The sequence below is a fragment of the Homo sapiens genome, chromosome 1 (genome assembly GCF_000001405.40).
Source record: "Homo sapiens chromosome 1, GRCh38.p14 Primary Assembly".
NCBI classification, from domain to species: domain Eukaryota; kingdom Metazoa; phylum Chordata; class Mammalia; order Primates; family Hominidae; genus Homo; species Homo sapiens.
The window spans coordinates 35,553,806-35,567,521 of NC_000001.11; the positions used below are offsets into that span (position 1 = coordinate 35,553,806).

The 13,716-nt window shown below is 54.3% G+C and overlaps 2 protein-coding genes across 21 annotated transcripts in view, besides 10 other annotated features; one reads left to right on the top strand and one right to left on the bottom strand.

The window, feature by feature from the left end:
- KIAA0319L (KIAA0319 like) overlaps positions 1 to 3,856 on the bottom strand; it is a 124,170-nt gene extending 120,314 nt beyond the window's left edge. For 9 of the 18 annotated variants that reach the window (XM_047430826.1, XM_047430825.1, XM_047430829.1 and 6 more), the window contains exons 1-2: positions 3,499 to 3,598; positions 545 to 714 (exon numbers count right to left, since the gene is read on the bottom strand). In XM_047430826.1, coding sequence (XP_047286782.1) covers positions 545 to 686 — 142 coding nt within the window. In that variant the 5' untranslated portion in view covers positions 687 to 714; positions 3,499 to 3,598. Of the gene's footprint in view, positions 1 to 544; positions 715 to 3,242; positions 3,267 to 3,401; positions 3,599 to 3,744 lie in introns of those variants that run through there. The other 9 variants (NM_024874.5, XM_017002366.2, XM_047430832.1 and 6 more) reach the window with 4 other exon arrangements.
- Positions 315 to 1,271: an enhancer, noted in NCBI's record as "H3K27ac hESC enhancer chr1:36019721-36020677 (GRCh37/hg19 assembly coordinates)". NCBI's record gives its function as "activates a minimal SCP1, AML or CMV promoter by ChIP-STARR-seq in primed H9 embryonic stem cells {active_cell/tissue: H9 hESC(primed)}" and the evidence as "EXISTENCE:reporter gene assay evidence [ECO:0000049][PMID:30033119]".
- Positions 1,272 to 2,227: an enhancer, noted in NCBI's record as "H3K27ac hESC enhancer chr1:36020678-36021633 (GRCh37/hg19 assembly coordinates)". NCBI's record gives its function as "activates a minimal SCP1, AML or CMV promoter by ChIP-STARR-seq in primed H9 embryonic stem cells {active_cell/tissue: H9 hESC(primed)}" and the evidence as "EXISTENCE:reporter gene assay evidence [ECO:0000049][PMID:30033119]".
- Positions 3,028 to 3,755: an enhancer, noted in NCBI's record as "NANOG-H3K27ac-H3K4me1 hESC enhancer chr1:36022434-36023161 (GRCh37/hg19 assembly coordinates)". NCBI's record gives its function as "activates a minimal SCP1, AML or CMV promoter by ChIP-STARR-seq in primed H9 embryonic stem cells {active_cell/tissue: H9 hESC(primed)}" and the evidence as "EXISTENCE:reporter gene assay evidence [ECO:0000049][PMID:30033119]".
- Positions 3,292 to 3,391: a silencer, noted in NCBI's record as "silent region_641". NCBI's record gives its function as "represses an Ori minimal core promoter by ATAC-STARR-seq in GM12878 lymphoblastoid cells {active_cell/tissue: GM12878}" and the evidence as "EXISTENCE:reporter gene assay evidence [ECO:0000049][PMID:35858748]".
- Positions 3,402 to 3,541: a silencer, noted in NCBI's record as "silent region_642". NCBI's record gives its function as "represses an Ori minimal core promoter by ATAC-STARR-seq in GM12878 lymphoblastoid cells {active_cell/tissue: GM12878}" and the evidence as "EXISTENCE:reporter gene assay evidence [ECO:0000049][PMID:35858748]".
- Positions 3,756 to 4,482: an enhancer, noted in NCBI's record as "NANOG-H3K27ac-H3K4me1 hESC enhancer chr1:36023162-36023888 (GRCh37/hg19 assembly coordinates)". NCBI's record gives its function as "activates a minimal SCP1, AML or CMV promoter by ChIP-STARR-seq in primed H9 embryonic stem cells {active_cell/tissue: H9 hESC(primed)}" and the evidence as "EXISTENCE:reporter gene assay evidence [ECO:0000049][PMID:30033119]".
- Positions 3,772 to 3,831: an enhancer, noted in NCBI's record as "active region_732". NCBI's record gives its function as "activates an Ori minimal core promoter by ATAC-STARR-seq in GM12878 lymphoblastoid cells {active_cell/tissue: GM12878}" and the evidence as "EXISTENCE:reporter gene assay evidence [ECO:0000049][PMID:35858748]".
- NCDN (neurochondrin) lies at positions 3,994 to 12,974 on the top strand. 3 transcript variants are annotated; one of them, NM_001014839.2, is made up of 8 exons: positions 3,994 to 4,078; positions 4,351 to 4,418; positions 5,302 to 5,442; positions 6,521 to 7,489; positions 8,587 to 8,828; positions 9,397 to 9,621; positions 9,962 to 10,104; positions 11,422 to 12,974. In NM_001014839.2, the coding sequence occupies exons 2-8, from the start codon at positions 4,386 to 4,388 to the stop codon at positions 11,856 to 11,858; spliced, it is 2,190 nt and encodes a 729-aa protein (NP_001014839.1). In that variant the 5' UTR covers positions 3,994 to 4,078; positions 4,351 to 4,385; the 3' UTR covers positions 11,859 to 12,974. The 3 variants fall into 3 exon arrangements, with proteins under 3 accessions (NP_001014839.1, NP_055099.1, NP_001014841.1); NM_014284.3 differs by having other exon boundaries at positions 3,994 to 4,418; NM_001014841.2 differs by lacking the exon at positions 4,351 to 4,418.
- Positions 4,613 to 4,822: a silencer, noted in NCBI's record as "silent region_643". NCBI's record gives its function as "represses an Ori minimal core promoter by ATAC-STARR-seq in GM12878 lymphoblastoid cells {active_cell/tissue: GM12878}" and the evidence as "EXISTENCE:reporter gene assay evidence [ECO:0000049][PMID:35858748]".
- Positions 5,210 to 5,935: an enhancer, noted in NCBI's record as "H3K4me1 hESC enhancer chr1:36024616-36025341 (GRCh37/hg19 assembly coordinates)". NCBI's record gives its function as "activates a minimal SCP1, AML or CMV promoter by ChIP-STARR-seq in primed H9 embryonic stem cells {active_cell/tissue: H9 hESC(primed)}" and the evidence as "EXISTENCE:reporter gene assay evidence [ECO:0000049][PMID:30033119]".
- Positions 6,392 to 7,026: an enhancer, noted in NCBI's record as "H3K27ac-H3K4me1 hESC enhancer chr1:36025798-36026432 (GRCh37/hg19 assembly coordinates)". NCBI's record gives its function as "activates a minimal SCP1, AML or CMV promoter by ChIP-STARR-seq in naive H9 embryonic stem cells {active_cell/tissue: H9 hESC(naive)}" and the evidence as "EXISTENCE:reporter gene assay evidence [ECO:0000049][PMID:30033119]".
- Positions 12,975 to 13,716: the final 742 nt, after the last annotated feature.

Below are 13,716 nucleotides of genomic sequence, written 5' to 3' on the forward strand. Positions count from 1 at the left end.
TGAAATAATCTCTAGGAGGAAAGCATAGTCTAAAAAATCTATCAACATAGCCCCTCTCTATGGAAAAAGTAAGGAACGCATTTTTCCCATAAGTGTAGATTCCTTTAGGAAAGGAAAGGAAGCTCAAGACCAGCCTGGGCAAATAGCAAGACTAAGCACCCATGCTGAGTGCTGTGCTACATGCTTTAATTATACTATCCCTCAAATCAAACCATGAGGTAGATAATAACCCTTCCTCAAAGATAATAGGTAATTTGCTCAAGGTTTTATAGTCATTAAGTGGAAATACCCAGTTGACTTTTATCAAGTCTTAAAACGGTTGTGCCAATTCTCCCTTATGAAAAAGAATCCAATTTAAACTCTGGTTCCAAAACAAAACAAATAAATAAACCCAACAGACCTCAGTCACCAAAAGGATGACCATTTCTGTCAATTAGCAGATTGTTTTTTCTGCCTCCTAATAGTCCTTAAAATGAACTGAGGGACTCACATAAAATGCCCTTTTCTAAAAAAAAAAATCTTAAATCTATAAAGAAAATAGTACCTGTTGACAACCACAGAACGCTGAAGCAAAAGCAAGTATAAAACAGGTACAGGCTTCTCAACCACTTCGCAGATGTCTGCCAATAATATCCTGATAAAATCCAGGAAGCAGGATTTGGCTTGACTCCCAGCCTCTTCTCCATGGCCCTCCAGACAGGCAGAACCAGTACACTAGAAGGACAGAAAGAGAAGAAATTACATGCCGAGTAATTAATAATTAATTCCTGGAAATGTGGAATGCTAGAAAATATGACAGATTAGGGGAAAGAAAAATTTCAAGTTTGTCTTTAACGGCTCAACCCTGCCTATAAATTTTAAACCTGGGCTTTGAGGTAGCCTATAATTATCAGAATAACAACACAGCAAGGGATATCAAATGAATCCACTGAAAACTGAAACTTTATATTCCTTTTTTTTTTTTTAATCTAACAGTAAATCACCTATGTGGTAGAATGGAAAGAGTACCAGCCCGCAGACAAGAAGATCTCTGAGTTTTAGTTGCAGTTCTGCTACTAACAGCTTTGTGACTTTGACCAAACACACTTTCTTACTTTTGAGGAGAAGAGGTTGCACCCTCAGAGGTAAAGTAACCTGAGGGTTATGTCTGGCCCAGTATTTTTTAAATTTCTGAATGCAAATGTCTTTAGGCAGGGCATGCACTCTCCAGTCTGCTACTGTCTCCGCCCACCACTATTATCATGAAAATCTATTCAATTTACACCTCAATGCTACCCACCCCAATCCCTGCATTCAACAGATACTTACGTCAGGCACTATGCTGGCTACTCCAGAATCTAGGGGCTGGATTATTTAGGTCTCTTCCAGCAGAAAAACTCATTTACCATAAATTTCTCCCCTCATATAAAACTTTGCTATATTGTCTAAATTAGTACGTAAATATTGGCAACATTATGAGGGTTGACTGAGTTCTGAAGAAGCAATTCAAAAACTTCTGTCCAACTATGTACCTGTCATCTACATCCAGCAAACGACACAGGCTGCCAACCCCTAACTCCTATCCACGGCCAGCATACAGGGAGATCAGCATTGCCTGGGCTGGATACCAATACTGACTAATACCAAGAAACAGCCACAGACATACACACAGCTGCAAAACTAAGGTGCAGCCCACCCAAGAAAAGGCTTTTGCAGAACCACATGCATCTGAAGGACTTCATCGTTCTCATTCACTTCCATCCATTCCTATTTCTAGTTGTTTTGTAGTTGTATTTCAGGGAGCAGGGGGCAGAAAGGAGGTGTGTGGGCCAGAGACATGTTCAAGAGATTATGAAATGGAGCCTAAGTTAGAAAGTACATCCAGCAATTTCTCTAGCCTCCCAAGAGGGAACGAGTGAGTATGCATGTGTGCATGTATGGGTGTGTATGAATCTTACCCAACACATTTCTGCCTACCACAAAAGGATTTAAAACTCAAGGTGACTCAACAGCTGTCATCAATAGCCTGACAGGTGGGTGGGAGAAGCAGAAAAGAAATGAATAGCTTTTGAAAAATGGAGTAATAAACACCACTGGACTAACAAGCTGATTAGAAGTGCCATGTCTAATAAATCTTGCGTCTAAGAGAAAGGCAGAGTTAATTTCATTTGAACTCCTAACCAGTCATTCCTCTGAAACCTATAATTGCCTAAGGGCACAAATCACTGCTAGGGTCCAGTTAAAGGCTTGCTGACCAAACGCAAGAACAACAACACATCACCAAGATCCGAATAGTTTGTTACTGAATCAAAGGGTAACAACCCAGGGAGAGAACACACACCCCCACAATACTTGACAAATGAAAATCTAGAGAAGCTCACAATAGTTCTGGCATTTAGGGCGTTACAAGTACACCCAAAATAAAAGCACTCTCTGTTGCAGCAGCTGTTCAGACAGAGCAGGGGGTAATGTTTACTTAATACTTCAGGTTGATGGGGGATGTATCACAGTTCAGTCTGTCAACTACATACGTGGAACTCCATTTATGTACACAGCGATAAGATATGTTTGAACAACGATGGAGCACGTCTGAAACAATCTATTCAGTTGGTATGAGTAATCGAGAATAAAGCTCTTTTTTAAAAAGTCTCAGATATTTGGGAAAGTTACAGAACAGACTGCCATGAATAGCTTTGCTTATATTTGCAGACACTGTTTTCCAAATAGCTGGAAAAATGAACAGATTGTTCTGGGAGGTCGTCTTTCCAATTTGTTCCTAGTTTTCAGTCTGTTAATCACAGGAGAGAGCACAAGGAGAGTCAGCTAATGCTCTTCACTAACTGCAACTACTGTCAGTTGGACACAACCACTATGAGACCAGAAGCCAAAGAGTTCCTGGAATCCCGCCAGAGGTTATCAATTTTGACTTCCTTCATTTCACCTTTGTGCTCACTGCAGCCACTACAGGACCCTCTGTGGGGCATAATTTTCAAAATCGTGGATGAGGCAGGTTTCACATTATAATGGACACATCGTGCTCAACCCCATCCCCTCTTCATTCTGCACCAACTTTCTATCTCGGTGGAGAGACCAAACATCAGAGACAGCAACTAAAGACTAGGCTGCAGAGGTCGAAGGTGGAAGAAGGACGGCAGCGCCCCGAACCCCGGCTGTCTGCCTGGCTCTCAGGGGATGGAGGGAGCTGCATGACTAGGCCCAGGCCCGAGAGAAGCGGGGTTCAGCCTGGGACCCAAGCTGCGCACCTGCAAGGACAGAAGCAGCTGGCTGCCCTGGCCGAGCCAGGGGCGCCACCTCCGGACCCAACATCCGGCCAGCGCAGCCGCTGACATCGCCCGTCCCGCTTGCCCCTCCCCTGAGCCCATGGTCCTCGGCCTGGCAGCCAGCCGCCCCCGGCCACCTACCGGGGCTCAGGGCCACATAGCGGGGCCCCGGCTCTCGGCGGCCTCCGCCTCCTCCTGGTCCATGGGCTCGGGGACCCCCAACCTTCGCTCCCCTCACCCGGAGGAGGAGGAGGAAGAGGAAGAAGGTAGTGCGGGCTCCCCACCCGGACAGCTACCTCTCGCCTCAGCCTCCCTGGACAGCGACGGCGGCCGGAAACACCGCCTCCTCCCACCTCCCCGGGACCGACCCGGAAACACACTCTCCATGCTAACCAAGCCCTCCCGCCCCTCCCCCGGGAAGGGCAATGCCGGCCGCGAGACCAAGGGGGAGGAGGGGCAGTGCTGGGCGGGTAAAACTACGCACAAGCGAAGGAATCTGGGCCCCCAGCCTCTCGCCGCCCGCTCTCCAGAGGCAGTCTGCACCTTGCCTCCTTCGCTCGAGCCCCAGCCCCCAGACTCGGGCAATACCCACAAGCAAGATGGCGGCAACGGCGGCACCCCCTACTGCTTAGCACCCTGACTTGCCATTGGCCAGAGCCCGGAGTGAAGCAGCCGCGGATTCGTCAAGAGCGGTGCGGGGGTGGGGGTGGAGCTGCAGCAGCCTGGAGCCAGGAGTGGGCAACGCGGCGTGAGCAGCGGCCCGAGGCTCCCGGAGCATCGCGCTGGGAGAAGACTTCGCCGCTCGGGGCCGCAGCCTGGTGAGCTCAGCCCCCTTCGGGCCCTCCCCTGCATCCCAGCCGGGGCCTCTCCGAGCCGGCGCTGATCGATGCCGACACACCCCGGGGACCCTATCGCGACTCCATCGCGCCATATCGCGACACCATCGTGCCCTGTCGAGACTCCATTTTGTCACAGCCCTTTTCAATATATATCTTTTTTTTTTTTAATTTGCCCTGTCATCTTTGGGGGCTGTCTCCCATGTCGTGATTTTGACGTGATCTCTCCGTGACATCACCGCGCCATCGTGAAGTGTGATCTCATCGCCGCCCTGTCGTGACTTCATCAATGTCGTGTTGTGACCTGGCTGCGGCGGGACAGGTGGTGACCGCCAGGAACCCTCCTCCCCTTCTCATCTCCCCATCTCAGCAGCCCTGCTTCGATTATCCGGCTTTTGGATTCTCCGTTGTCCTGGGAACTATCCGGGACCCCCTCTTGCTTCTCCAGCCCCTGCCGGCATCCACAGGCTGGTAGCGGGACGGGGAGGGCGAGAAGAGGGAGCGCAAGGGGTTAATTCTGCTGCTGCCGCCGCCGCTGCTGCTGCTGCTGCAGCCTCTACCCGAGGGAGGGAAAGGAGAGGAGGCAAGGAGCCTGCGGGGGCGACTGAGAGCCCTGGCTGGAGGGGTGGGGTCCCCAAAGGGGCCTCCAAGCCTTCCCTGTTGAGCGTCTTGTATTCTCACTTCTGAAGCGTATCTCTGCCTCTGAAGAAGGGAGGGGAAAGGAAGCCTGGGGTGTCCTTTTCTCCCATGTCAGCCTGAGTCCGGATAATCGAACTTCACCCATGTATGTCTCCATTTCTCCCTGTCTGTCCTCACCACTCACTCCCTCTGTGTCCCTGTGGAGGGAGATAAAACCCAGCCTCCGGTGCCAGGGGGACAGCTGAGCAGTGGGGCCAGCTCCCGCCCACCCCCAGGAGACTGGTGAGGAGAGCTGTCCGGCTGAGCAGCAGCATGCATGGTCCTTCTTTCCCGCTTTCTGGAGGTGACCTTGGACCAGGGTCCCTTCTTTATCCCTAAGGATTTGCAGATCCAGCCCCTTAAAGGGGCTTCTGGGGGGAGGTCAGTCCTGAGGAGTCCACCCCTCCAGATTCTCTCCTCCCCTCCCTCTGTGCTAATCCCTCCCTCCCTCCATCCTCCACTCTCACCCCCACCCCACCCCCGTCCCTCCTCTGCAGAGGGATGCTCAGTCCCTCTTGTGTTCACAGTTGGGCAAGGCGAGCATCATGGCCTCGGATTGCGAGCCAGCTCTGAACCAGGCAGAGGGCCGAAACCCCACCCTGGAGCGCTACCTGGGAGCCCTCCGTGAGGCCAAGAATGACAGCGAGCAGTTTGCAGCCCTGCTGCTAGTAAGGAACTGGCTGAAAATTGGGAGGTGGGAAGGGCTGGGTGGTTGGGCCCCCAAGGAATGGGGTCAGTGAGTCCCCAAGGATATGTACGTAGTGCTAGCAACCCTGGAGGCACCAACGAAGGCCCAAGACCCCTACCTTTGTGCTCTTTTTTGCTCCCCCTGAGAATGGGGGCAAAGAGGAGAATGGGACTGAATAAGGCTGTGGCACTAGGGGCTGCCTGGGTCTGTTTTCTGGGGCGTCCCAGAGCAGATGGAAGCTGACTCATAGGGTAACAGCAGCAGGTAGTAACTAGTGCAGAGTACTTGAGGGCTGGGGATGGTTGTTCTGGGCCTGGAGAGAGTAGCAGGGCTGGAAGTGGCTGGGGAGGGGTCCTAGGGGAAGGCCAGGATGGCAGTAGGTAGGTTAAGGAATGGGAGCTAGTTTGGGGCTTAGCCTTTTTGGAGGAACCCAAGCTGGGGACAGCAGAGCAGAAGCTGCAGTGCTAGGAAGGGGGGGTTGTGTGTGGGGGGTGAAGGGAGGAGGGAGTACAGCCGCTGCTTGTTTGCCATGGCAACAAGGAGAAGGCTCTGGAGTCAAGGGCTCACACTGCAGCAGAGGAGGTGTTTAGGTGAAATGTAAGGGGAAATGTTTTGACAGGCGGAGCGGCGAGACACAGGAGCCATTTCCCCTGAGAAGGTGGCAGAAATGGATCAGGGACTTCTCTGGAGGGAGCAATTAAGGAAGGACTTTAAATCCTTGGGAGATCTTAAAACATTGAGTTCTAAGCCCCTTCCATCCCAGGTTGTGGGCATTTAGACATCAGGAAGAACTTCTCAACTGGCCAGGTGTTGAAATGCTCAAATGAATGGTTGAGGAAGACTAGACCTCACTTCCATGGGACAGTCACAGATGAGAGGGATCCCAGAGGTCACATTTATCTGCCTCTAAGGAGAAAAAAGGAGCTGGATGAAATGACCTCAGATGAGTCCTGTTGCATAACCTCATCTTGCTAGTCCTCAGTGCCCCAGGATGCAGGAGAGGGACAGTCTTTCCCACTTCTTCCTTTCATCCTGATGATAGCACATACCCCCTATAGGTGACCAAGGCAGTCAAAGCAGGTGACATAGATGCCAAAACTCGGCGGCGGATCTTCGATGCTGTCGGCTTCACCTTCCCCAATCGTCTCCTGACCACCAAGGAGGCGCCGGATGGCTGCCCTGACCATGTTCTGCGGGCTTTGGGTGTGGCCCTGCTGGCCTGCTTCTGCAGTGACCCTGAACTGGCCGCCCATCCCCAAGTCCTGAACAAGATTCCCATTCTTAGCACCTTCCTCACAGCCCGGGGGGACCCGGACGATGCTGCCCGCCGCTCCATGATTGATGACACCTACCAGTGCCTGACGGCTGTAGCAGGCACACCCAGAGGGCCTCGGCACCTCATTGCTGGTGGCACCGTGTCTGCCCTATGCCAGGCATACCTGGGGCACGGCTATGGCTTTGACCAGGCCCTGGCACTCCTGGTGGGGCTGCTGGCTGCTGCCGAGACACAGTGCTGGAAGGAGGCGGAGCCCGACCTGCTGGCCGTGTTGCGGGGCCTCAGTGAGGATTTCCAGAAAGCTGAGGATGCCAGCAAGTTTGAGCTCTGCCAGCTGCTGCCCCTCTTTTTGCCCCCGACAACCGTGCCCCCTGAATGCTACCGGGATCTGCAGGCCGGGCTGGCACGCATCCTGGGAAGCAAGCTGAGCTCCTGGCAGCGCAACCCTGCACTGAAGCTGGCAGCCCGCCTGGCACACGCCTGCGGCTCCGACTGGATCCCGGCGGGCAGCTCCGGGAGCAAGTTCCTGGCCCTGCTGGTGAATCTGGCGTGCGTGGAAGTGCGGCTGGCACTGGAGGAGACGGGCACGGAGGTGAAAGAGGATGTGGTGACCGCCTGCTATGCCCTCATGGAGTTGGGGATCCAGGAATGCACTCGCTGTGAGCAGTCACTGCTTAAGGAGCCACAGAAGGTGCAGCTCGTGAGCGTCATGAAGGAGGCCATAGGGGCTGTTATCCACTACCTGCTGCAGGTGAGGGTGCAGTGACCCACAGAGGGGGCCCAGTATGGGGGGAGCCAGTGCTGGAGCTGGGAGGCAAGGGGGAGGAGAATAATGGGGAGACAGCGAAGCTGCATGTCCACACAAGCTGATACTGTAGCCAGCACTCCAGGGAGTAGTGTGCGGCCCAACCTCCCTCTCTCTCCCTCCCTCCACACAAGCACCATACCACACACCATATGTGCACTCACATCACAGTACACACACACGCACACACACACAACACAGTAACCTCCCACTCAAACGCTCCCCCCAATACACACACACTACACGCCACACACCTCTCCCCAACACATGCACACAAGATTGAAGCAGTCTGTTCTGCTCACTCCATAGCATTGTTTTATACACGCACACACCCGAACTTCTAATGGTGCAGGGAAGAGAAGCAGGGCTGCCTGGTTCCTGGCCTCTATAGAGGTCTGGCTAGATCAATTCGCCTGCCTCCCCTACATCCCCTCCTGCCTCCCCGCCTGAGAGGCCAGCTGTCCTGTCCCACAGGGATTCAGTCATGACTCTGGTCTCTTTAATGGCCTGCTCCAGCCACCGAGCTCACCAGCCATATATTCCATGCACCACGCTAAGCTCATGTCTTTTTTCTGACTTAGCACAAAAGAGAGCATCCCCTCACTCCCACCATTGGGAGCAGTTACACAGTAGCCAGGAACCTGCCCTCCCACCCCAGGTCAGAGCTGCTGTAAAGGGTGTTTAACTTAGCTTTTGACCTATGAATTTCCTTCTAGCCTTGAGACACTCCAGAGGTAGGGAGTTAGGGAGATGTGACTGGAGCCTCAGCGAGTACGGGGGCATGTCACTCAATTCACTCAGGCCCAGTTCACTCAGCAGACGTGTGTGGAGGGCCTGGCTCACTCTGTGCCAGTCCCTTGTGTGCGTCCCTACCACATGCTAGGTGCTGGGTTCATGGGACAGAATAAAGGTTGGGGCCTGCCTTTGAAAGGCTCACAGGCCAGAATTTCCTTCTAGTTGTATTATTTCTAGCTGGCTGGCCTCTGGCAAGGCAGGGAGGGTCCCTGGTCCTGCTCCATCTCAAGGGGGTCCTGTGGCAACAGGTGGGGTCAGAGAAGCAGAAGGAGCCCTTTGTGTTTGCCTCGGTGCGGATCCTGGGTGCCTGGCTGGCCGAGGAGACCTCATCCTTGCGTAAGGAGGTGTGCCAGCTGCTGCCCTTCCTCGTCCGCTATGCCAAGACCCTCTACGAGGAGGCCGAGGAGGCCAATGACCTTTCCCAGCAGGTGGCCAACCTGGCCATCTCCCCCACCACCCCAGGGCCCACCTGGCCAGGAGACGCTCTCCGGTGAGTCTGTAGTTACAGTCTGTCCAGCTAGATCATTCTACCGAAAAGCGTTAACACAAGGACACCCCTCCCCACAAACTGAGCTGTGCCAGGCTTCCTGATTGGGCCATGAGATATCCCTTAGGGTTATTTCTGTTTTGGGGGGCTTGTTCCCACAGGACTCCTCGGCTGCCAGGTGTCACTTGCCAACCCCAGATTTCTCAGTTAAAAGAGAACTTATACTTATTGAGCACCTACTACGAGCCAGGTATTTTGCTATACCCTTTACCAAAATGATCTCATTTGGTCCACGTGGTAAATATAACAGAAGTCTCATTCACATATGAAAGATTAGGAAACTGAGGCTCATAGAGATTAAAGTCACTTGCCCACAGTCACACTTTGTGGCAGAGCCCAAGTTTGGTCCTGGGTTGTGCGACTCTGAAGCTTGTACTTTTTCTGTGGTACCTGCGAGGATGTGTCCTTCTCCCCTACTTCCATTTCTCTTAGGCAAGGTGCCCTAAAAAGGGAATCTATGTGCCTTCATCTCTCCCAATCCCACACACGTCTGTCCCTTCCACATCCCCAGGCTCCTCCTGCCTGGCTGGTGCCACCTGACCGTTGAAGATGGGCCCCGGGAGATCCTGATCAAGGAAGGGGCCCCCTCGCTTCTGTGCAAGTATTTCCTGCAGCAGTGGGAACTCACATCCCCTGGCCACGACACCTCGGTGCTGCCTGACAGCGTGGAGATTGGCCTGCAGACCTGCTGCCACATCTTCCTCAACCTCGTGGTCACCGCACCGGGGCTGATCAAGTGAGGGGCTCGGGAGAGGTGGGGGAGGAGGCCGGAGGAGGCAAAGGAGGCTGCCCAGTTGCCTCAATTCTCAGTCTCCTACTTTGCCCCCCATGCCCATGGATTTGTTAGTGGTAGCATGGGGGTCTCAGAGTAGACATAGCCAGCCCCGCACAAGGATTCGGCATGCTGGAACCCCCAGGTACTGTCTCAGCATGTCTGCTTGTTCCAATCTCTGCCCCCCAGATGCTATGTTTGGGGCCCAAAGTTAATCACCCTACTGCCTAATTTCTTGCCAAGGGCTTGATTTGGCTGTACTAGACCCCCACCTACCTCCATCCTTCCCCCCTTTCTTTTCCAGGCGTGACGCCTGCTTCACATCTCTAATGAACACCCTCATGACGTCGCTACCAGCACTAGTGCAGCAACAGGGAAGGCTGCTTCTGGCTGCTAATGTGGCCACCCTGGGGCTCCTCATGGCCCGGCTCCTTAGCACCTCTCCAGGTAAGAACTGGGGATCCAGTCCTGATGGGTGAGGACAGAAGACCTGGGTGGACCTCCTGTGTTTGGGGCAAAAGTCACCATTTTTAGAAGATGGTTTTGCAGCATTTTCTAAGCAAGAGGAAATCTTTGCAGTGTATCTCCATCCCCTACCCCCACCGTTCTTCCCAAAATGCTAACATTCTCTTTCTTCTGAAGACTTTTAAGGCAAAGTCTGGTGGGTGTTAAGTACAGACCTGCTCACAGGCACAGGCATAGGCACCTGGAATCCCTGGCAGCCAGAGGAATCTGAATCCAGTGTTTTCAAGGTGGAGCCGCCCCCACCCAGGCCTTGAGTCAGAAACCTGACTTCCTTCCATTGATGTTTTTCTCTGCTCTGCTCGGTACCTCACCCCCATCAGTGACAGCCTTCAGCACTTGGTGTCCCTCTATGCACACCTTCTCCCTAGCTCTGCCTCACTCTGGCTGTTTGCAGGGGGAGGGACGTCCCCTCCAGCCCCTGGCAGCCCTCCGTGTCTCCCTCTTTGGCTGTGGGTGTCTGCTTGGGTCCCTCTGTCCCTGCCTGTTCCCTGTGCCCCATCTGTCAGGTTGGAGGAGCTGAGCAGATGCCTGGGAACAGGGCGTAACATGCCCGTACCTTCCACTGCCTCTGTGTTCCTTTTGAGGGGTTCCCAGCAGGGTACCCCGTCATGGGAAGGGGTGCACATCCCTGTACACCAGGAGCCCACTCTGCACTCTCAGTCCCAGGCTGCATCTCTGCAGCCCCCAATTTCATGGTCCCAGTTCTGGCTCACCCTCAAATACCACCAGGTTAGGTTGACAGCTTCCTGGAGAGCACCTGCAGTGTGAGGGTCACCCCTTGAACAGCCAGTAAGCAAAGCAGGGTCACTTGCTTATGTTCCTCTCTGGCGCCCTCTTCTGGCCCAAGGATCAAATGGTGCAACTCCCTTAACCTGTGTCTGAGCTCTGTGTCCAGAACCCTGAGGGGTTCTCTCTCCCATCTGACCCTGTGACTCACCCCCACCTCCAGTGCCGGTAGAGGTCTTGGTGGTTGAGTGTACCAAGATGATCACATTTAATTCTCACAACAAATTTCTAAGATGAGCACTATTGGCCCATTTTACAAGTAAAGAAACAGACCCAGAAAAGTTAATTACCCAAGGTCACACAGTGAGCATCTAAGGCAGGGTTTCAACGCAGGCAGTCTGATTCCAGGCTGTGCCCTGGCTCCTGCATGTGTCTACACAGAGGACTAGGGAAGGGTCTGACACAGCAGCTGGCCTGTCCGATTCATGCCCCACTCCTTCCGTTACCTTGCAGCTCTTCAGGGAACACCAGCATCCCGAGGGTTCTTCGCAGCTGCCATCCTCTTCCTATCACAGTCCCACGTGGCGCGGGCCACCCCGGGCTCAGACCAGGCAGTGCTAGCCCTGTCCCCTGAGTATGAGGGCATCTGGGCCGACCTGCAGGAGCTCTGGTTCCTGGGCATGCAGGCCTTCACCGGCTGTGTGCCTCTGCTGCCCTGGCTGGCCCCCGCTGCCCTGCGCTCCCGCTGGCCGCAGGAGCTGCTCCAGCTGCTAGGCAGTGTCAGCCCCAACTCTGTCAAGCCCGAGATGGTGGCCGCCTATCAGGGTGTCCTGGTGGAGCTGGCGCGGGCCAACCGGCTGTGCCGGGAGGCCATGAGGCTGCAGGCGGGCGAGGAGACGGCCAGCCACTACCGCATGGCTGCCTTGGAGCAGTGCCTGTCAGAGCCCTGAGGGGTGTCCACCGGGGACAGACCCAGGGGCGGGCAGAGAGGGAAGGAGGGAGGAGGCATCTTCCCTGAAGCCCCCAATCTGGCCCCCCCCTCCCCAGACTTCCTCCCCAAAACACCCCAGCTTTCTGGCTTTTCTGAGGGCAAGGGCATGGTGCCCACCCCTCAAGTGTAAGGAACTGCGTTCCGCCCCTCAGGCCCCCATGGGGGCAGGGATCGGCTTGGAAATCAACGTGGTTGTCCCCGCCAGGCCGGGGAAGGTTGGAGCAGCCCCCAGGGAGGGGGGCACTAGGTGTCATTGTGCCCGATGTCTGGCTCCCCTGCAGGAGGGAGGCTCCAGGGTAAGACAGGGCTGGCAGGAGCAGACTGCCTCAGCCCATGTGCCCTGCCGGCCAGGGCGTGGGCTCCCCTCGGCTGTGGTGCCTCCTCTGGCCCCCCAGGTCCACGTCCTTTAAATTGGCCCTTTGGCTCTTGCCCTTGGCTCCCTTGGGCAGACAGCAGGCTTAGGCCATTGATATCGCAGTTCTTCCTATCAGCTTCAGTGACCCAGGGTCTGAACTGCCTCCATCCTAGGGCAACCTGGGGCAGACAGGCCTGGTGGGGGGTGGGGAAACCTCCTTCCACCTGAGCTTGCTTGAAGGGACCCAGAGTCTTTGGGCCCAGATCTTTAAACCTTTGTGTCGTGTTGCAGCAGAGTGACGATGGGGGTTGGGGGGTTATTTATTTTGCCTGTCCTTATCCCTGCTTGGACACCTGAGCATCTGATTCCTGTCCCCCTGGTGCCATCTGGCCTGGCTGGAGCCAGGAACAGGAGGGACACTTCCCCAGAATCCGCATGTTTCCCCAGTGATTACACTCCACTGCCACCGTGGTGCCTGGCTTTAACTCCCACCCCTGCTATGACTCCTCTCTGCAGAGACGCGACTGGCGGCTCCAGCAGGGACTACCTTTCTTATAAACCCAGGGGGACCACACACACACACACACACACACACACACACACACACACACACACACACACTCTTGATCCCTTGCTTCCCTCCCCCAGTGCGTTCTGTGATCGCCAAGTTCAAAGCTGTGCACATGTGGACACTCAATAAATGTTCATTGGTGACGAGAAGCCTCCTGCGTGGTCTGCCCTGCACCTGCTCTCTCCCTTCCAGGCTCCATCAGTTCACAGCTACCAGGTGCTGAACACATGCCCTGCTAAACACATCATGAGACCTCATTCAGCCCTTCCAAGAATCCTCTGAAGGGTTCTGATTTTACAGACAAAGCAACTTTGGCATGGATAAGTGATTGGCTCAAGGTGTTGCCGCTAGTCAGTGCCAGAGCCAGGACTCCACACAGGCCATCCGACTCCCCAGCCCACATCTTTCACTTGTACAGCAGATTGCCAAACTCATGTTGATGTGGCCAGGCCTTGTGGGGGCTCTGGTGCTCTCAAGTACAGATGAAACACTGCACCCCCGCCCCCATGTCACTGGGTTGCTGCCAAGTGGCCCTGCCATATCCTCCCATTTTTAAAGAAGTCAGGAATCCTAATTTGTATGTGAAACCCAACTTTTGAATGTCAGTAACTATCTTTAATTAAATAACTACTGATCCAACAAAACATGCAGTCCAAATGTAGCTTTCAGGTTACCAGCTGTTGATCCTGTATGCCAAATGAGAAGCCAGAGGGCCTGCAAGCTTCAGCAGATGAGCCAAGTACCCACTATGGGTACTTCACCAGTCCTGAGCCAAAGCTGTGAGGTTGGAGCCAGACAGGCCCCAGACCCATACCCTCCGCAACCTCCTCCACCTAGGCCCTCAAACCTATAAGCACGTGCTGAGCATAGCCTATGTGCCCACCTGTGGTT